Source organism: Homo sapiens, chromosome 15, assembly GCF_000001405.40.
Source record: "Homo sapiens chromosome 15, GRCh38.p14 Primary Assembly".
NCBI lineage: Eukaryota > Metazoa > Chordata > Mammalia > Primates > Hominidae > Homo > Homo sapiens.
Genome location: NC_000015.10, coordinates 28,573,467 through 28,589,682, shown reverse-complemented (window position 1 = coordinate 28,589,682; position 16,216 = coordinate 28,573,467). Strand labels below are relative to the sequence as shown.

At 47.6% G+C, this 16,216-nt stretch overlaps 1 pseudogene across 1 annotated transcript; it reads left to right on the top strand.

Moving 5' to 3' along the window:
* Positions 1-442: 442 nt before the first annotated feature.
* HERC2P11 (HERC2 pseudogene 11) lies at positions 443-15,903 on the top strand (annotated as a pseudogene). Its single transcript, NR_145479.1, has 5 exons — positions 443-792; positions 10,285-10,485; positions 12,721-12,898; positions 12,977-13,115; positions 14,482-15,903. The product of NR_145479.1 is annotated as an HERC2 pseudogene 11 (transcript).
* Positions 15,904-16,216: the final 313 nt, after the last annotated feature.

Sequence of the window (16,216 nt, the reverse complement as noted above, 5' to 3'; positions counted from 1 at the left end):
GCTGCCCCGCGGGTGGTCCGCGCAGGCCCCGGTGCGGCCGCCGCGCCCACGCCCGCCTCCCGGGCTCGGCCGCCCGCCAGCCCCGCGCCCGTACCGCCCCCGCCACCGGCCGCCCAGGTGCCCCAGGCCAGGACCTGACGCGCAGGGCCCGGCCGCCTCGCCTCGCCGGCGCGCGGACGCAGCCTCCCAAGAGCCGCTGGCTCAGCCGGCGCCCGCGATCCCGGCGCCTCTCGCGGCCCGAGGGGCGGGCCGACGCGGGACTGCCGCCCCCCGCGTACGGCCAATCGCAACGAGGCTGCTCCGTGGGCGCAGCCAATGGGGAAGAGGAGCCCTTCGCCGCTCCTCCCGACTCTCCCGCTTCCAGCAATCCCGCTTATCTTCCTACTTGGAGCGCCCTGGCTGCGGCCAAGGCCAACAGCGGGCGCCGGAAGGCGGGATTTCCGCCGCACGCACGCACTCCCGCACTCCCACGGGAGACTGCTTGGCCCGGAGCGCTCTTGATCACGCCGCGGCGGGTGGTGGCGCTCACACTAACTATAGCTATCCAGGGCGCGGGTCGAGTGGCGAGACCAGCTCCCCTGGGTATGAGAACGCATCTTTGTGCGGTCGGCTGGCTGGGGCCTGAAGAGCTTCCTCCTGTGTGTTCAACTGAACGCAGCAAAAGTCTTGGGCAGATTCCATGGAGCAGCTGTGGAAGCACTGTGCAGGGAATCGAAGAAGGAAACACCTCCGGCGACCACAAAACAAAATTGAAGAACTATAAAACAATATAGGCCGGGCGTGGTGGCTCACGTATGTAATTCTCAGCGCTTTGGGAGGCCGAAGCGGGAGGATCCCTCGAAGCCAGGAGTTGGAGGATCCCATGTTGCCAGACTGGGCAACATAGCAAGACCCCATCTCTAAAAAATAAAAATAAAAAAATTTAACAATTAGCCAGGTGTGGTGGCACACACCTGTGATCCCAGCTGCTCGGGAGGCTGAGACAGGAGAATCGCCTGAGCCTGGGAGATCAATGCTACAGTGAGCTTAGATCGTGCCACTGCACTCCAGCCTGGGCGACAGAGTGAGATCCTGCCTCTAAGAAAGAAAAATAACGGCCGGGCGTGGTGGCTCAGGCCTGTAATCCCAGCACTTTGGGAGGCCAGAGCAGGTGGATCATCTGAGGTCAGGAGTTCAAAACCAGCCTGGCCAACATGATGAGACCCCTTCTCTACTGAAAATACAAAGATTAGCCAGGTGTGGTGGCACGTGACTGTAATCCCAGCTACTCGGGAGGCCGAGGCAGGAGAATCGCTTGAACCCGGGAGGCGGAGGTTGCAGTGAGCCGACATTGCACCACTGCACTCCAGCCTGGGGGACAGAGGCTGCACCACTGCAGCCTTGACTTACCGGGTTCAGGTGGTTCTCCACCTCAGCCTTGCCACTAGCTGGGACTGCAGGCACATGGAACCACACCTGGCTAATTTTTGTAGTTTTTGTAGACGGGATTTTGCCATGTTGCCCAGGCTGGTCTCGAACTCCTGGGCTCAAGTGATCCGCCCGCCTCAGTCTCCCAAAGTGCTAGGATTACAGGTGTGAGTCACTGCACTCGGCTAATAGTAATGAACTTTGAACAGAAGGAAAGTTGTTATTATTTTCTTGGTTATGTTCTATCTATATTTTCTAATTTTTCTAAACATGTAAAGATAAAATTCTAAAAACTCAGACCTCAGAACAAAAAAATTAGAGTATAAATATTTATTTTAGTTAACTTGTACAAATTTGGTTTCTGGAAAAAGAATGGAATAGATTTTCTGAGAAAAAAAATCCACCACTTTGGCCGGGCGCAGTGGTTTACGCGTGTAATGCCTGCACTTTGGGAGGCTGAGGCGGTGGATCACCTGAGGTGAGGAGTTCAAGACCAGCCTGACCGACATGAAGAAACCCCTGTCTCTACTAAAAATACAAAAATTAGTCAGGCCTGGTGGCACGCACCTGTAATCCCAGCTACTCAGGAGGCTGAGGCTGGAGAATCGCTTGAACCCAGGAGGCAGAGGTTGCAGTGAGCTGAGATCGCACCATAGCGCTCCAGCCTGGGTGACAAAAGGAAAACTCTGTCTCAAAAAGAAAGAAAGAAAAGCAGACTGGCTGAAAGGATTGAAGAACAAAATATGATCCACCAATGTGCTATCTACAAGATAAACATTTTAAATACAGAAACAGATTGAAAGTAAAGGGATACAAAGATACAATTAAAATAGTAACCAAAAAAGAGCTGAAGGGGCTGTACTAATATCAAATGTAATACACTTTAAATTAAAGCAGGGCTGGGCATGGTAGCTCAGGCCTGCAATCCCAGCACTTTGGGAGGTGGAGGCAGAGAGACACTTGAGCCCAGAAGTTCGAGATCAGCCTGAGCAACATGGCATAATCCCATCTCTACAAAAAATACAAAAATTAGGCGGGCATGGTGGTACCCACCTGTGGTCCCAGCTATTTGGGAGGCTGAGGTGGGAGGATCATGTGAGCTGGGGAAGTTGAGGCCGCAGTGAGCTAAGATCGGGCCCCTGCACTCCACCCTGGGCAACAGAGCGAGACCCTGTCTGAAAATAAAAAAAAATAAAAAACGGGGTTGAGAGACAAAAAAGGACATCCTTTTTTTTATTATTGTATTTTGAGATGGAGTTTCGCTCGTTGCCCAGGCTGGAGTGCAATCGTGTGATCTTGGCTCACTGCAACCTCCGCCTCCCGGGTTCAAGTGATTGTCGTGCCTCAGGCTCCCGAGTAGCTGGCATTACATGTGCCTGCCATCACGCCCAGCTAATTTTTGTATTTTGGTACAGACGGGGTTTCACCATGTTGGCCAGGGTGGTCTCCAACTACTGACCTCAGGTGATCCACCTGCCTTGGCCTCCCAAAATGCTGGGACTACAGACATGAGCCACCGCGCCAGCCGAAACCTTCATTTTAAAAAAGGCTGGGTCAGGCATCATGCCTCATGCCTGTAATCCCAGCACTTTGAGAGGGCAACGCAGGCGGATCACCTGACGTCAGGAGTTCGAGACCAGACTGACCAACATGGTGAAACCCCGTCTCTACCAAAAATATAAAAATTAGCCGGGTGTGGTGGCACACACCTGTAATCCCAGCTACTCAGGAGGCTGAGGCAGGAGAATTGCTTGAATCTGGGAGGTGGAGTTTGCAGTGAGCCGAGATTGTGCTGCCACACTGCAGCCAGGGTGACAGAGTGAGACGCCATCTCAAAAAATAAATAAAGGCTGGGTGCCAGATGTGGTGCATAGGCCTAGTTTGTTGACTCCTGTACTTAACATATAAAACTCTAAAGAACAGTGGGAAGGAGCTTCCCTCTAGAGGCACAGGACCGGCCAAGTTGGTCCCTGAGCAGTGACTTTATAATAACATGTTACACTGTGTTTTTTGTTTTTGTTTTGTTTTTTGTTTGTTTGAGACGGAGTTTCGCTCTTGTTGCCCAGGCTGGAGTACAATGGCGTGATCTCAGCTCAAAACAACCTCTACCTCCCAGATTCAAGCGATTCTCCTGCCTCAGCCTCCAAAGTAGCTGGGATTTCAGTCATGCAACACCATGCCCGGCTAATTTTGTACTTTTAGTAGGGATGGGGTTTCTCCATGTTGGTCAGGCTGGTCTCGAACTCCTGACCTCAAGGGATCTGCCCGCCTCGGCCTCCCAAAGTGCTGGGATTACAGGCGTGAGCCACCACACCCGGCCTATATTTTTTTTCTTTTTTTTTAGACACAGTCTGACTCCGTTGCCCAGGCTGGAGTGCAGTAGCGCGATCTTGGTTCACTGTAACTTCTGCCTCCCAGGTTCAAGCGATTCTCCTGCCTCAGCCTCCCAAGTAGCTGGGATTACAGGCATGCACCACCACATCCGACTAATTTTTGTATTTTTAGTAGAGATGGGGTTTCACCATGTTGGCCAGGCTGGTCTCAAACTCCTCACCTCAAGTAATCCGCCCGCCTCGGCCTCCCAAAGTGCTGGGATTACAAGGCGTGACCCACCGGGCCTGGCCCTGTGTGTTGTTTTATGTATGTTTCTATATGTGTTATATTTCACAATAAACTAAATATTAAAACAAAGAATAACTGATAGCTATGCACAAAGGTATTTAAATTTCACCCTCACAGATAATTTTTTTTTTTTTGAGACAGGATCTCACTCTGTTACCCAGGCTGGAGTGCAGTGGCACCACCTTGGTTCACTGCAGCCTTGACCTCCCAGGCCCAAGCGATCCTTCTACCTCAGCCTCCTGAGTAGCTGGGACTACAGGCACACTCCACCACACCCACCTAATTTTTGTATTTTTGGTAAAGATGGGGTTTCACCATGTTGGCCAGGCTGGTCTCGAACTTCTGGGATCAAGGAATCCTCCAACCTTGGCTTTCCAAAGTGCTGGTATTACAGGCGTGAGCCACTGTACCCGGCCAAGAATAGTTTCTTCTCCTTACCTAGGTAGAGACCTCTGCAGAAATGCTGGGAGATCTTTGGAGAGGGGAGATTTTTTAAATAAAAAATTTAATACTTGGAGGGGCGTGGTGGCTTACCCCTGTAATCCCAGCACTTTGGGAGGCCAAGGCGGACAGATCAGGAAGTCAGGAGATTGAGACCACCCTGGCTAACACGGTGAAACCCCATCTCTACTAAAAAAAAATACAAAAAATTAGCTGGGCATCGTGGCGGGCGCCTGTAGTCCCAGCTACTCGGGAGGCTGAGTCAGGAGACTGGCGTGAACCTGGGAGGCGGAGCTTGCAGTGAGCCGACATCGGGCCACTGCACTCCAGCCTGGGCGACACAGCAAGACTTCGTCTCAAAAAAAAAAAAAAATTAATACTTTGGGATGCCAAGGCAGGTGGATCACGAGGTCAGGAGTTCAAGAACTGCCTGGCCAAGATGGTGAAACCCCGTAAAAATACAAAAATTTGCCGGGCTTGGTGGCAGGTGCCTGTAATCCCAGCTATTCAGGAGGCTGAGGCAGGAGAATTGCTTGAACCTGGGTGGCAGAGGTTGCAGTGAGCCAAGATAGCACCACTGCACTCCAGCCTGGGCAATAAGAGTCAGACTCTGTCTAAAAAAAAAAAAAAAAAAAAAACTGATCTAGTTCAAAACCTCACTTTGAATCCACCCACATTGCTCTAAAATACTTTCATCTTTCCTGTGGCTAAAACCTTAAAGCCTTGCCAGTAACTCCCATTGCACTTAAGGAAATCCAATCTCCCTTGTTGTGGCCCCTGAACAGGCTGCTGCTGGCCCACCACGGTGCCTCTAGTTTGTGTAAAATGCATATGTTAATTTATAATATATGAGGCTTTTTTAGCTCTAAAAGGCTATTATTCACTAGTTGCTGTGTGAATCAGTATTTCTGGGTGCAGTTAGAAATTATTAGAGTTGATGCCCAAGACTCATCTCCATCAGCACGGGGGAGGCATCTGCTCGTTTTATGGTCAGTGACTCTGGGCCTCCTGCTGGGCTAAGTCCTGAGGTGGGTCTGACTCAGGTCAGAGCTGTGCACCCCGGCCCTCCTCCTCAACGTGCATGAGTGCTCTTTAGGATGGAGCTGAACACTGGCTTCTCAAAACCACTTGGCCCCATCACAGGCCCTGAGAACTGATTGGGTCACTCTGGTGGGCTCCCCAGCCCTAGCCAAGAAGGGTTTCTCTAGGGAGCCTGGCCCCCCACTTATGAGACCTGGAGCCCCAAAGATCCTGACCAGGGGCCTGCCTCCTCCAGGGAGGGGCCACTCGCCCCCACCAAGCTCCCTTCACAGAGACCCATCCAACAGAGCTGAGGAAAACCATGCCTCATAAATGAATAAATACATAAATAAGAATGCCGGGGACCTGTGGATTTTGTAATTCCTGAAAGAAGGCAGAGTGGCTGGCTCACAGCAAGCGCAGTAGGAGATACTGCTCCCCGGCCAGGCTGTTCTCTGTCTCTTTGGAGGGAGCCCTAGGGTACAAGAAAAGCCAGAGGAGACCAGCTGGCCCAGAAGGTGCCTCTCCACCCCTTCCCCAGAGTTTCTGGGAAACAAAGCCCACCCGAGGGACACATGCCTTCTTGGGAGTTGTACCAGGCCTCCTTCCTCATCCAGCCATGCAGTGGTTTTCAGTGCCCGAAACAGATGAATAAAATAGGCCCTTTACGGGATGTTCTTCAGGAACATGCACACTTCTTTGGATCTTACCATCGTTTTATCTCTATTTAAAGTTAAATGCTGTGTTATACAGAGTATTGGTAAAGATGTAGAGCTACAAGAACTGTCAAGCTGGCAGTAGCATAAAATTGTATAAGCACATTGGAAACCTGTTTGGCAGCTTCTACTAAAGCTATATCTATGCCTACCTTCAGAAATTCCATCCTAAGCATGTACACAAGAGAAACGAGTGCATATGTCCACAAAAAGACTTATATAAGAATGTTCACTGCCATTTTTATTCATAAGAGCCCCAAATGAAAACAACCTAAATGTCCATCAACAGGAGAGTGAATAAATGGTGATACAGTCACATCATGGAATACTACACAGCCAAAAAAGAAAAATGAAGTGGTAGGAACACTCAACGACATGGGTGAATAGAGGGAGCCAGGTATGAGAGACAGTGCACAGTACCAGCCCACCTAGATGAAGCGCAGGAAGACAGAACTGACGATGATTGAAGTCAGAAGAGTAGTTTCCTTTGTGGGAAAGTGTAGGTCAGGAAGGAGCCTTCTGGGGTACTACAAATCTGCCGTATTTTGGCTGGGTGCAACAGCTCACACCAGCACTTCGGGAGGCATAGGCGAGAGGGTCACTTGAGCCCAGGAGTTAGAGACCAGCTTGGGCAACACAGCGAGATCCCATCTCTACAAAAAAATTAAAAATTAGCGTGGCATGCTGGTGTGCACCTGTAGTCTCAGCTACTCAGGAGGCTGAGGCAGGAGGATTGCTTGAGCTTAAGAGTTTGAGGTTGCAGTGAGCTCCCAAAGTGCTGGGATTACAGGTGTGAGACACTATACCAGCCTGATTTTTAAATACTGACCAAGCCTTGTGTTACTGGGATAGGCATCACTTGGCCACGATTTACTACTCTCTTTCTTTTTTTTTTTTTTTTTTTTGAGACAGAATTTCACTCTGTCACCCAGGCTGGAGTGCATTAGTGCAATCTCAGCTCTCTGCAACCTCTGCCTCCTGGGTTCAAGCAATTCTCCTGCCTCAGCTTCCTGAGTAGCTGGGATTACAGGTGTGCACCACCACACCTGGCTAATTTTGTTTGTTTGTTGTTTGTTTTTAGTAGAGATGGGGTTTCACCATGTTGGCCAGCCTGGTCTCCAACTCCTGACCTCAAGTGATCCACCCTCCTTGGCATCCCAATATTCCTATGATTACAGGCGTGAGCCACTGCGCCCGGCCCTATTCTGTTTCTATATTGCTAAATTTGACTTGCTAACACGTTTTTGAGGATTTTTCTGTTGATGCTCATCAGGGATGTTGGTTTGCAGTTTTCTTTCTTTGTATTATACTATCTTGTCTGGCTTTCTGTCAGGGGAAAGCTGACCTTATACAAAGTATTGGCATGTGTTCCCTCCTTTTCCATTTTCTCTAAGGGATTGTGTAGAATTAGTGTTATTTCTTCTTTAAATGTTTTTGAATCCATCTGAACCTGGAGATTTCTTTCTAAAAGATTTTACGCCGGGCACGGTGGCTCGTGCCTATAATCCCAGCACGTTGGGAGGCTGAGGCAGGTGGATCACCTGAGGTCAGGAGTTTGAGACCAGCCTGGCTAACATGGTGAAACCCCGTTTCTACTAAAAATACAAAAAATTAGTCGAGCTTGGTGGCGTGCGCCTGTAATCCCAGCTACTCAGGAGGCTAAGGCAGGAGAATCACTTGAACCTGGGAGGCAGAGATTGCAGAGAGCTGAGATTGCACCAATGCACTCCAGCCTGGGTGACAGAGTGAGACTCCGGCTCAAAAAAAAAAAAAAAATTTTTACAAATTCAATTTATTTAACAGATACAGAACTATTCAGGTAACCTGTTTGTTTCTAGGAGGATTTTCCTGGTTTGTGGCACTCGGACATTGCTTTATTTCATCTAAGTTGTCTGATTTTTAAGTGTCAAGTTTTCCTTAGTGTTCTCTTGCTAACCGTCTGAAGTCTGTGGGGCCTGCAGTGATGTCCCTTCATTCATTCCTGATACTGATAATTTGTATCTTTTCTGTTTTTTTCTTTGTCAGTTTTCCTAGAGTTTTTCAATTTTGTTGATCTTTTCAAAGAATGATCTTTAAGTTTCATTAATTTTTCCCTTCTTTTTTTGCTTTCAATCTCATTAGTTTCTGCTTTTATCTTGGCATTTGTTCCTTTGGCTTGTTTTGCGTTCACTTTGCTCTTTTTCTGGTTTCTTAAGGTGGAAACTTAGATTGCTGATTTAGACCTATCTTTTCTGTAATATATAATGATTTGATGCTATAAATTTTCCTCTAAGCAGTGCTTTAATTAAACCCACAAATTTTGGTGCATTTTCATTTATGTTCAAAATATTTTCTAATTTCTTTTGAGAATTGTTCTTTGACCCATGGATGATGATGATGATTATTATTATTATTATTTTTCTTCAATACGGAGTTTCACTGTTGTTGCCCAGGCTGGAGTGCAATGACATGATCTCGGCTCACTGCAACCTCTGTCTCCTGGGTTCAAGCGATTCTCCTGCCTCAGCCTCCTGATTAGCTGGGACTACGGGCACCCGCCACCATGCCCGGCTAATTGTTTTGTATTTTCAGTAGAGATGGGGTTTCTCCATGTTGGCCAGGCTGATCTTCAACTCCTGGCCTCAGGTGATCCCCCCAACTTGGCCTCCCACAGTGTTGGGATTACACGCGTGAGCCAGTGCGCCCGGCCTGACCCATGGATTATTAAGTATGTTGTTTTATTTTGAAGTGTTTGCAGATTGTTTTGTTAATGATTTCTAGTTTAATACCATTGTGATTGGAGAACAAACTGCATATGATTTCATTTCTTTTAAATTTGTTAAGATTTATGTGTCAGGTTATGTTCTCAGTGAACATTCTGTATGTGCTTAAAAAGTATATGTATGGTCTGTATATGTATGGTCTGTATATACATATATGTATACATATATGTGTAAAAAGTATATGTATGGTCTGTATGTGCTTAAAAAGTATATGTATGGTCCAGCACTTTGGGAGGCCAAGGCAGGCAGATCACAAGGTCAGGAGATCGAGACCATCCTGGCTAACAGGGTGAAACTCCGTCTCTACTAAAAATACAAAAAAAATTACCCGGGCATGATGGCGGGCGCCTGTAGTCCCAGCTACTTGGGAGGCTGAGGCAGGAGACTGGCTTGAGCCTGGGAAGCAGAGCTTGCAGTGAACTGAGATCGTGCGACTGCACTCCAGCCTGGGCGACAGAGCTAGACTCCATCTCAAAAAAAATAAAATTTAAAAAAAGTATATGTAAAGTGTATGTATGGCCGGGCACGGTGGCTCACGCCTGTAATCCCAGCACTTTGGGAGGCCAAGGCAGGTGGATCACGAGGTCAGGAGATCAAGACCATCCTGGCTGACATGGTGAAACCCCATCTCCACTAAAAATAAAAATTAAAAAAATAATAATAATTAGCCAGGCGTGGTGGTGAGCACCTGTAGTCCCAGCTACTCAGGAGGCTGAGGTAGGAGAATGGCGTGAACCCAGGAGGCACAGCTTGCAGTGGGCTGAGATCCCGCCACTGCACTCTAGCCTGGGCGACAGAGCGAGACTCTGTCTCAAAAAAAAAAAAAAAAAGTATATGTATTTTGCTGTTGTTGGGTGAAGTGTTCTATAAATTAGATCCAGTTTATTGAAGGTGTTCTACAGTTCTCCTAGATTTTTGCCGATTACTTGTTCTCTCACTATGAAAGGTATTGTGTGTGTTATATGTGTCTAACAATTCATTTTCTAGTTAGAGTTGCTATTATACCACTTCAAGTGGATGGAGAGCCTCACTGCCATCCATTAATGTGCATTAATCATTTTGAGAGTGAAAAGATTTTTTAAAATGTTTTTACTTTTTTAGGTATGGCCAAGTGAGATGGGGCTAGTGAAATGGGTGGGAGAATTGGAAGCTGATAGTGTGTGAGCTAGACACCCATGAATGCTTTTCCACTGGGCAGTTAGAGGGATGATAGGTAATAATATAAGGCAGCTCCATCACACAAGCTGGTGACTCCTGTGCGACAGACCAAGAGCTGCATTTGGAGATTCATTTCCGATTGTTGCGTTTCCTCTTAGAGCATTGCTTGGTCATCGTGTTCTGAGTGGTCCATTGGCCTCCATGTCCCTTTTGGGGTGGATATTTGCTCAGTGACTTTTGAGCAGCTGGATCTCCTGCTTCGGCAGGTGAGTGAGGGGATGGATGGCTCCGCGGACTGGCCCCCGCCCCAGGAGAAAGAGTGCGTGGCCGTGGCAACGCTGAATCTTCCCCGACTTCAGGTATTCGTGATTTCCCTTCCTCTTGCTCCTTTTATAAGTGTCTTAGCGATTTGTAAGAAGGTTTATGTATTCTGAAGGACATAGGTTTTAGCCTGTTGGGGGAAGTATTTTAAAGTAAGATTGTAATGCACTAATAATGGACGCAAGGCTTAAAAAACTTGATCTGTTTATTTTATGTTTGTCCTGGAAGTCAGCCTCGGCATGCAGGAAGAGTGTATATGGATTGTGTTATTTTTGCTATAATCATTAGTTTGTTGGTATTCTTACTGTTTTACTGTTGTTGCGTGTGGAGAAATGACTGGGTGAGATCACAGGTGATGGAGAGAGACAGAGCTCAGCTGAGAGACCAGTGCTGGCCTGTCTCTCCTCTGTCCTGTGAAAACCCTGCTCCAGGAGGGTCCAGTCTTTTGGTTTCCCTGGGCCACACTGGAAGAAGAATTGTCTTGGGCTACACATAAAATACACTTATGATAGCTGATGAGCTTAAAAAAAAAATCCCAAAAATATCTCATGATGTTTTAAGAAATTTTACTTTGGGCCACATTCAAAGCTGCCCTGGGCCACATGCTGCCCTCGGGCCGTGGGTTGAACAAGCTTGATCTACTCAATAAGCTCGGCTCCCAAAGCAATACCTTCCTTTCCTCACCATGAAGGCTGTGGTTAGGGTCACAATAAAAGCTACAAAAGCCTTCCTCCCTAGCAAAACTAAAGCTGAAGTGTTTGATCATCATCTTTTGTCTTTGTAATAAAACCCTCTAACTTAATGACAAGAACCACGGTTTTCTCGACATAGTAATTTTTCCCTTTTATTACAGTGGTTTCTTGTAACAACCCGTCATGTCCCTCTTCCAGCCCCTCCCCTTTTTGCCCTGCTTCTAGAATGTACAGAACTGAGTGTAGTGTTTAGTTGCAGTAATGAACTGAGCAGAGGTCTGGAGCATGCTTCTCCTCTAGTCCTCTGTAGCACTCATTTATCACCATACCTGTGGCATCCTGGCGTTTGCGTGGTTGCGCCCCAGGTGTTTGCTGCCCCTCCTGGTTTGCGGTGATGTGTCTGTTCTGGTCAGTGCTGTGGGGCGTGGCCTTGCGTATGTCTTAGGCTGTCGAGGTGTCCCAGCGTATGGTTTTGCATTTGCCTCTCCGGGGTCCTGAGGGTTCTGTAGGTTTCACAGACTCCAGGTGAGTTTCGGTGGTCATTTCCTGACCTGTGATATCTATACCTAGATGAGTGGTGTGCTTTTGATTTCACTTCTACTTACAGGGCAAGGCCGGGTCTCTGATTTCTCATGGGGCCTCTTGCTACCCAGAGCCTGGGACGGGCAGTGTGTTGCCCCCTGGCTGCGGTTGGCTGGCAGGCAGGTGATCCTGAGTGGCTCCCAGCCTTCTGCAGGAAGCTCGGGTTCAGTGGGTCCTTGTGTGCATTCCCGTGTGGGAGGTTGTGCTGAAGCCTGGCGGCTTGGCTCTGCTTTCAGAGCCCGGAACCTCTTGACTCCTGCTGTGTGTGCCCATGTGAATTTTGGTTTTGCACTTGAGGAGTTTCCCTGTGTACTCTCAGCTCCGCAGTCTAATTTTTAGCAGCTCTTTTTTTTTTTTAGACAGGGTGTCACTTTGTCACCCAGGCTGGAATGCAGTGGTACAGTCTTGGCCTGCCAGGTTCCAGTGATTCTCCTGCCTCAGCCTCCCAAGTAGCTGGGACTACAGGTGTGTACCATCACACCCGGCTGATTTTTTTATAGAGATGGGGTTTCATCATGTTGGCCAGGCTGATCTTGAACTCCTGATCTCAAGTGAGCTTTCCACGTCGGCCTCCCAAAGTGCTGGGATGACAGGCATGAGCCACCGCCTGTGGCAGCTTTTGTGGTTACATTGTAGCCATTATTTCTGTGTTTGGTGCAGATTGTTGGGGCGGGGTGGAGGTTGCTGTTGCTAGTTGTTTAGCTCTTCTGCTCATCTTGAGCTTTTCCATATATGTGTTCATAGTGGGGTTAAAAAAAATTCCTCTAGAAAATACTTCAACTATTGTGGGTAAGAGTTTTTTTAGTCCAGTTTTTAAAAATACGTAAACTGAGAAGTTATTTTGTCTATTTAAATAATACTTCAAATTGACTTTTATTCAGTGTTTAATAAGACTTTGAAATTCACTCATTTTTAGGGGTTCTAAGTGAAAATTGTTTTTCTCCTTTCAGTTGCATGCTGCCATTAGTCACCAGGTTGACCTGGAATTCCTTGGTTTAGGTCTGGGCAGCGTCTTCCTGAACAGCCTGAAGCAGAAGGTGGTGACCCTGGCAAGCAGCGCAGACGTGCTGAGCACCGTGCAGTCGGCCTCCCAGGCCATGCTGCAGAGCGGCTGGTCCATGCTGTTGCCCACCGCTGAGAAGCAGGCCCGGGCACTCTGCTCTCCTGTCCTGTGGAGGTGGGCTCGGGGAAGGAACAGGAGAGGGCATGGGTCAGGGTGCTGGGAGGGGATGGCGTTTCACTCAAATTGGCACAGACTTTCTATTTCAGTTTCAGGCAATGAAGTGAACATAAGTCCAGGTCATCGATTGGTGATTGATCTTCTGGTGGGCAGCTTGATGGCTGATGGAGGGTTGGAGTCAGCCTTACACGCAGCCATTACTGCAGAGATCCAGGTATGGCCTTGGAGGCACACGTGACCTGGTGGTGGGCTGAGATCGGAAATACCACACTCACACATGTGAAGAATAACTGAAAACAGTAAAACACTAAACTTATATCCAAGTATTTTTTTAAATTAAAATTCTTTTATGTGCTAATTTTAAAAATTATTGAGATGATTTGTGATAAAATACTGCATGTTGTCTGTTTCAGTGAAGTTAACAGGTAACCTGTTCCTCATGTAGACCATTCCCGTCACCCGGAAAGATCCCTGTGCTCCTTGGCACTTGCAGCCAGGATACTCCCCTGCCCTGAGATTAGATTCATTTTTCCTGCTCTGAGTGTCGCAGCAATATAACTGTATAGTATGCACTCTTTCCTGCTTTGCCTTGGAGAATGATTTTCAGATTCACTCACTGTTGTGTGTATTGCGACTTCGTTTTTATTATTGGGAAGTTTTCCATTTTATAGGTGTAGTACTGTTTGTTAGTTCATTCTCCTATTGAAGGACATGTAATTGTTTTTGGTTTTTGTTTTCTTTTTTTTTTTTTTTTTTTGAGACAGGGTCTTGCTCTGTCACCCAGGCTGTATACAGTGACCTGATGTTGGCTCACTGCAGCCTTGTCCTCCTAGGCTCAAATGATCCTCCCACCTCAGCCTCCTGTGTTGCAGGGACCACATACATGTCACCATGCCCGGCTAGTTTTTTGATTTTTTTGTAGAGACAAGGTTTCACTGTGTTGCAAGGCTGGTCTTCAACTCCTGGGCTCCAGTGATCCCCCCACCTTGGCCTCCCAAAGTGTTGGGATTACAAGCGTGAGCCACCGCGCCCAGGCTTTCTGGTTTTTGGCCGTGTAGAGCTGCCACAATTGTGCTGTGAACAAGTACTTTAGTGAACATATGTTCTCCCTTTGGATAAACACTTGGAGTGGAATTTGTTAGGTCCTGGGGTAAGTGTGTGTTCATAGTTTCCCAAAGTGGCTTTGCCATTTGCATTTGAACCAGGACTTTTGTGTGTGAGAATTCTAGCTCCTTCTTGTCCTTACAGAGCAGCTGGATGCTGCGTGTGTGGAGCCGATCACATTGGGTTTTGTGTGAGCCATTAGCAGGGTTAAGGATTTTAGGGACTTCACAGAAGGAGGCTGGAGAGCATCAGCAGAGGCAGCCTGGACCTTGGATCTGTAAAAAGAAGACACTGTTTGAAACTGCACAAATGAGTTGGGGTTTCCAACAGGGCAGGTGGGGGGCCTGTGGGTGGATGGGTGTGGCAGCCACAGAGGCTGGGATAGCTTGGCACTGGGGTCAGGGCTCAGCCAGCCTGTGTGCCTTCACACCTGGTAATGAGATCACTTGTAAACAATTTCTGTTTATCAATTACAGGATACAAAAAAAGAAGCACGGAAGGAAAAAGAAATTTATGAACAGGAAGCAAATGCCTCAACATTTCATAGAAGGAGGACTCCATTGGATAAAGACCTTATTAATACGGGGATCTGTGAGTCTTCTGGCAAACAGTGTTTGCCTCTGGTTCAGCTCATACAACAGCTTCTTAGGTAAATCATATTAGCTGTATTGTATTGTGTTTTATTTATTTACTTTTTTTTTTTTGAGACAGAGTTTCGCTCTTGTTGCCCAGGCCGGAGTGCAGTGGTGCGATCTTGACTCACTGCAACCTCCGCCTCCCAGGTTCAAGTAATTCCTCTGCCTCAGCCTCTCGAGCAGCTGGGATTACAGGCATGCGCCACCATGCCCCACTAATTTTGTAGTTTTATTAGAGACAGGGTTTCTTCATGTTGGTCAGGCTGGTCTTGAACTCCCGACCTCAGGTGGTCCATCCACTTTGGCCTCCCAAAATGTTGGGATTACAGGCATTAGCCACCACGCCTGGCCTATTTATTTACTTATTAATGGTGTTTTTTGTTTTTTGTTTTTTTTTTGAGATGGAGTCTTGCTCTATCGTCCAGGCTGGAGTGCAGTGTCACGATCTTGGCTCACTGCAACCCCCGCCTCCTGGGTTCAAGCTATTCTCCTGCCTCAGCCTCCCGAGTAGCTGGGACTACAGGCGTCTGCAACCACACCTGGCTGATTTGTGTATTTTTAGTAGAGATGGGGTTTTACCATATTGGTCAGGCTGGTCTCAAATTCCTGACGTCAGGTGACCCACCTGCCTTGGCCTCTCAAAATGTTGGGATTACAGGTGTTAGCCACTGTTCCCGGCCTGTATTGTATTTTAATAGGTGATTATTGGTTTTCATATTAAGATAGTGAAATCTAGCGCAAGGGTCTCAAAAATTTGTTTGATGATTGAAGGAATATTCTGAAAATTACCTAGTATAGATGTTAGGATAAAGAGCAGACCCTTCTCAATATAGGTGAGAGGAGAAGTTGGAGGGTGTGATGATACTCAGAAGTTTTTCACAGAAGAGAAATTGGGGCGTGCAGTAAACATGTAAAAAGATTCTTACTAATAAGCAGGTAGGTGCGAATGAAAATCATCATGGAAGGTTATTTTTAAAACTGGTTCTATCATTGCCTCACTTTACATATTACAGAGTTGTACCTACTACTTTGTAAGATAACTTTTCTTTTCAAAACTGAAGTCAATGTGATAGAATGGTGAGCATTATTTTGGAAGGCCAGACTAGGAGGAGGTGGGAGGAGGAAGTCAGACTCAGCCTGTGAACAGACGCTAACCTTGGCAGAAGCCAAAACAGTCAGACAGTGTTGTGTAAAAATGATCATTCAAGAAGAGCGAAACAGCAAGGTGATTTGTGAAAGAGATTTATTAGAAAATGAAACACATTTATACCTCTGTTCAATAAAAATCTGCTTTTCGTCAACTGATGCTCCTGGTTTTTGTTTCTACACATAGAGAAAGCAGAGCCCTGGCAGCTTGGGTCAGGCAGCCGAGTACAGACCAGGGAGCCCTGGGCAGTGGCTGCAGCTCTCAGCTGGCCTGTTCATGGGGCCATGGTGGGTCTGTGGCGTGGGGTGGGCCCGTGGCGTGGGGTGGGCCCGCGGCGTGGGGTGGGCCCGCGGCGTGGGGTGGGCCCGCGGCATGGGGTGGGCCTGCTGTCCACAGCCAGCAAAACTAACTTAGTGCACACACAGTGAA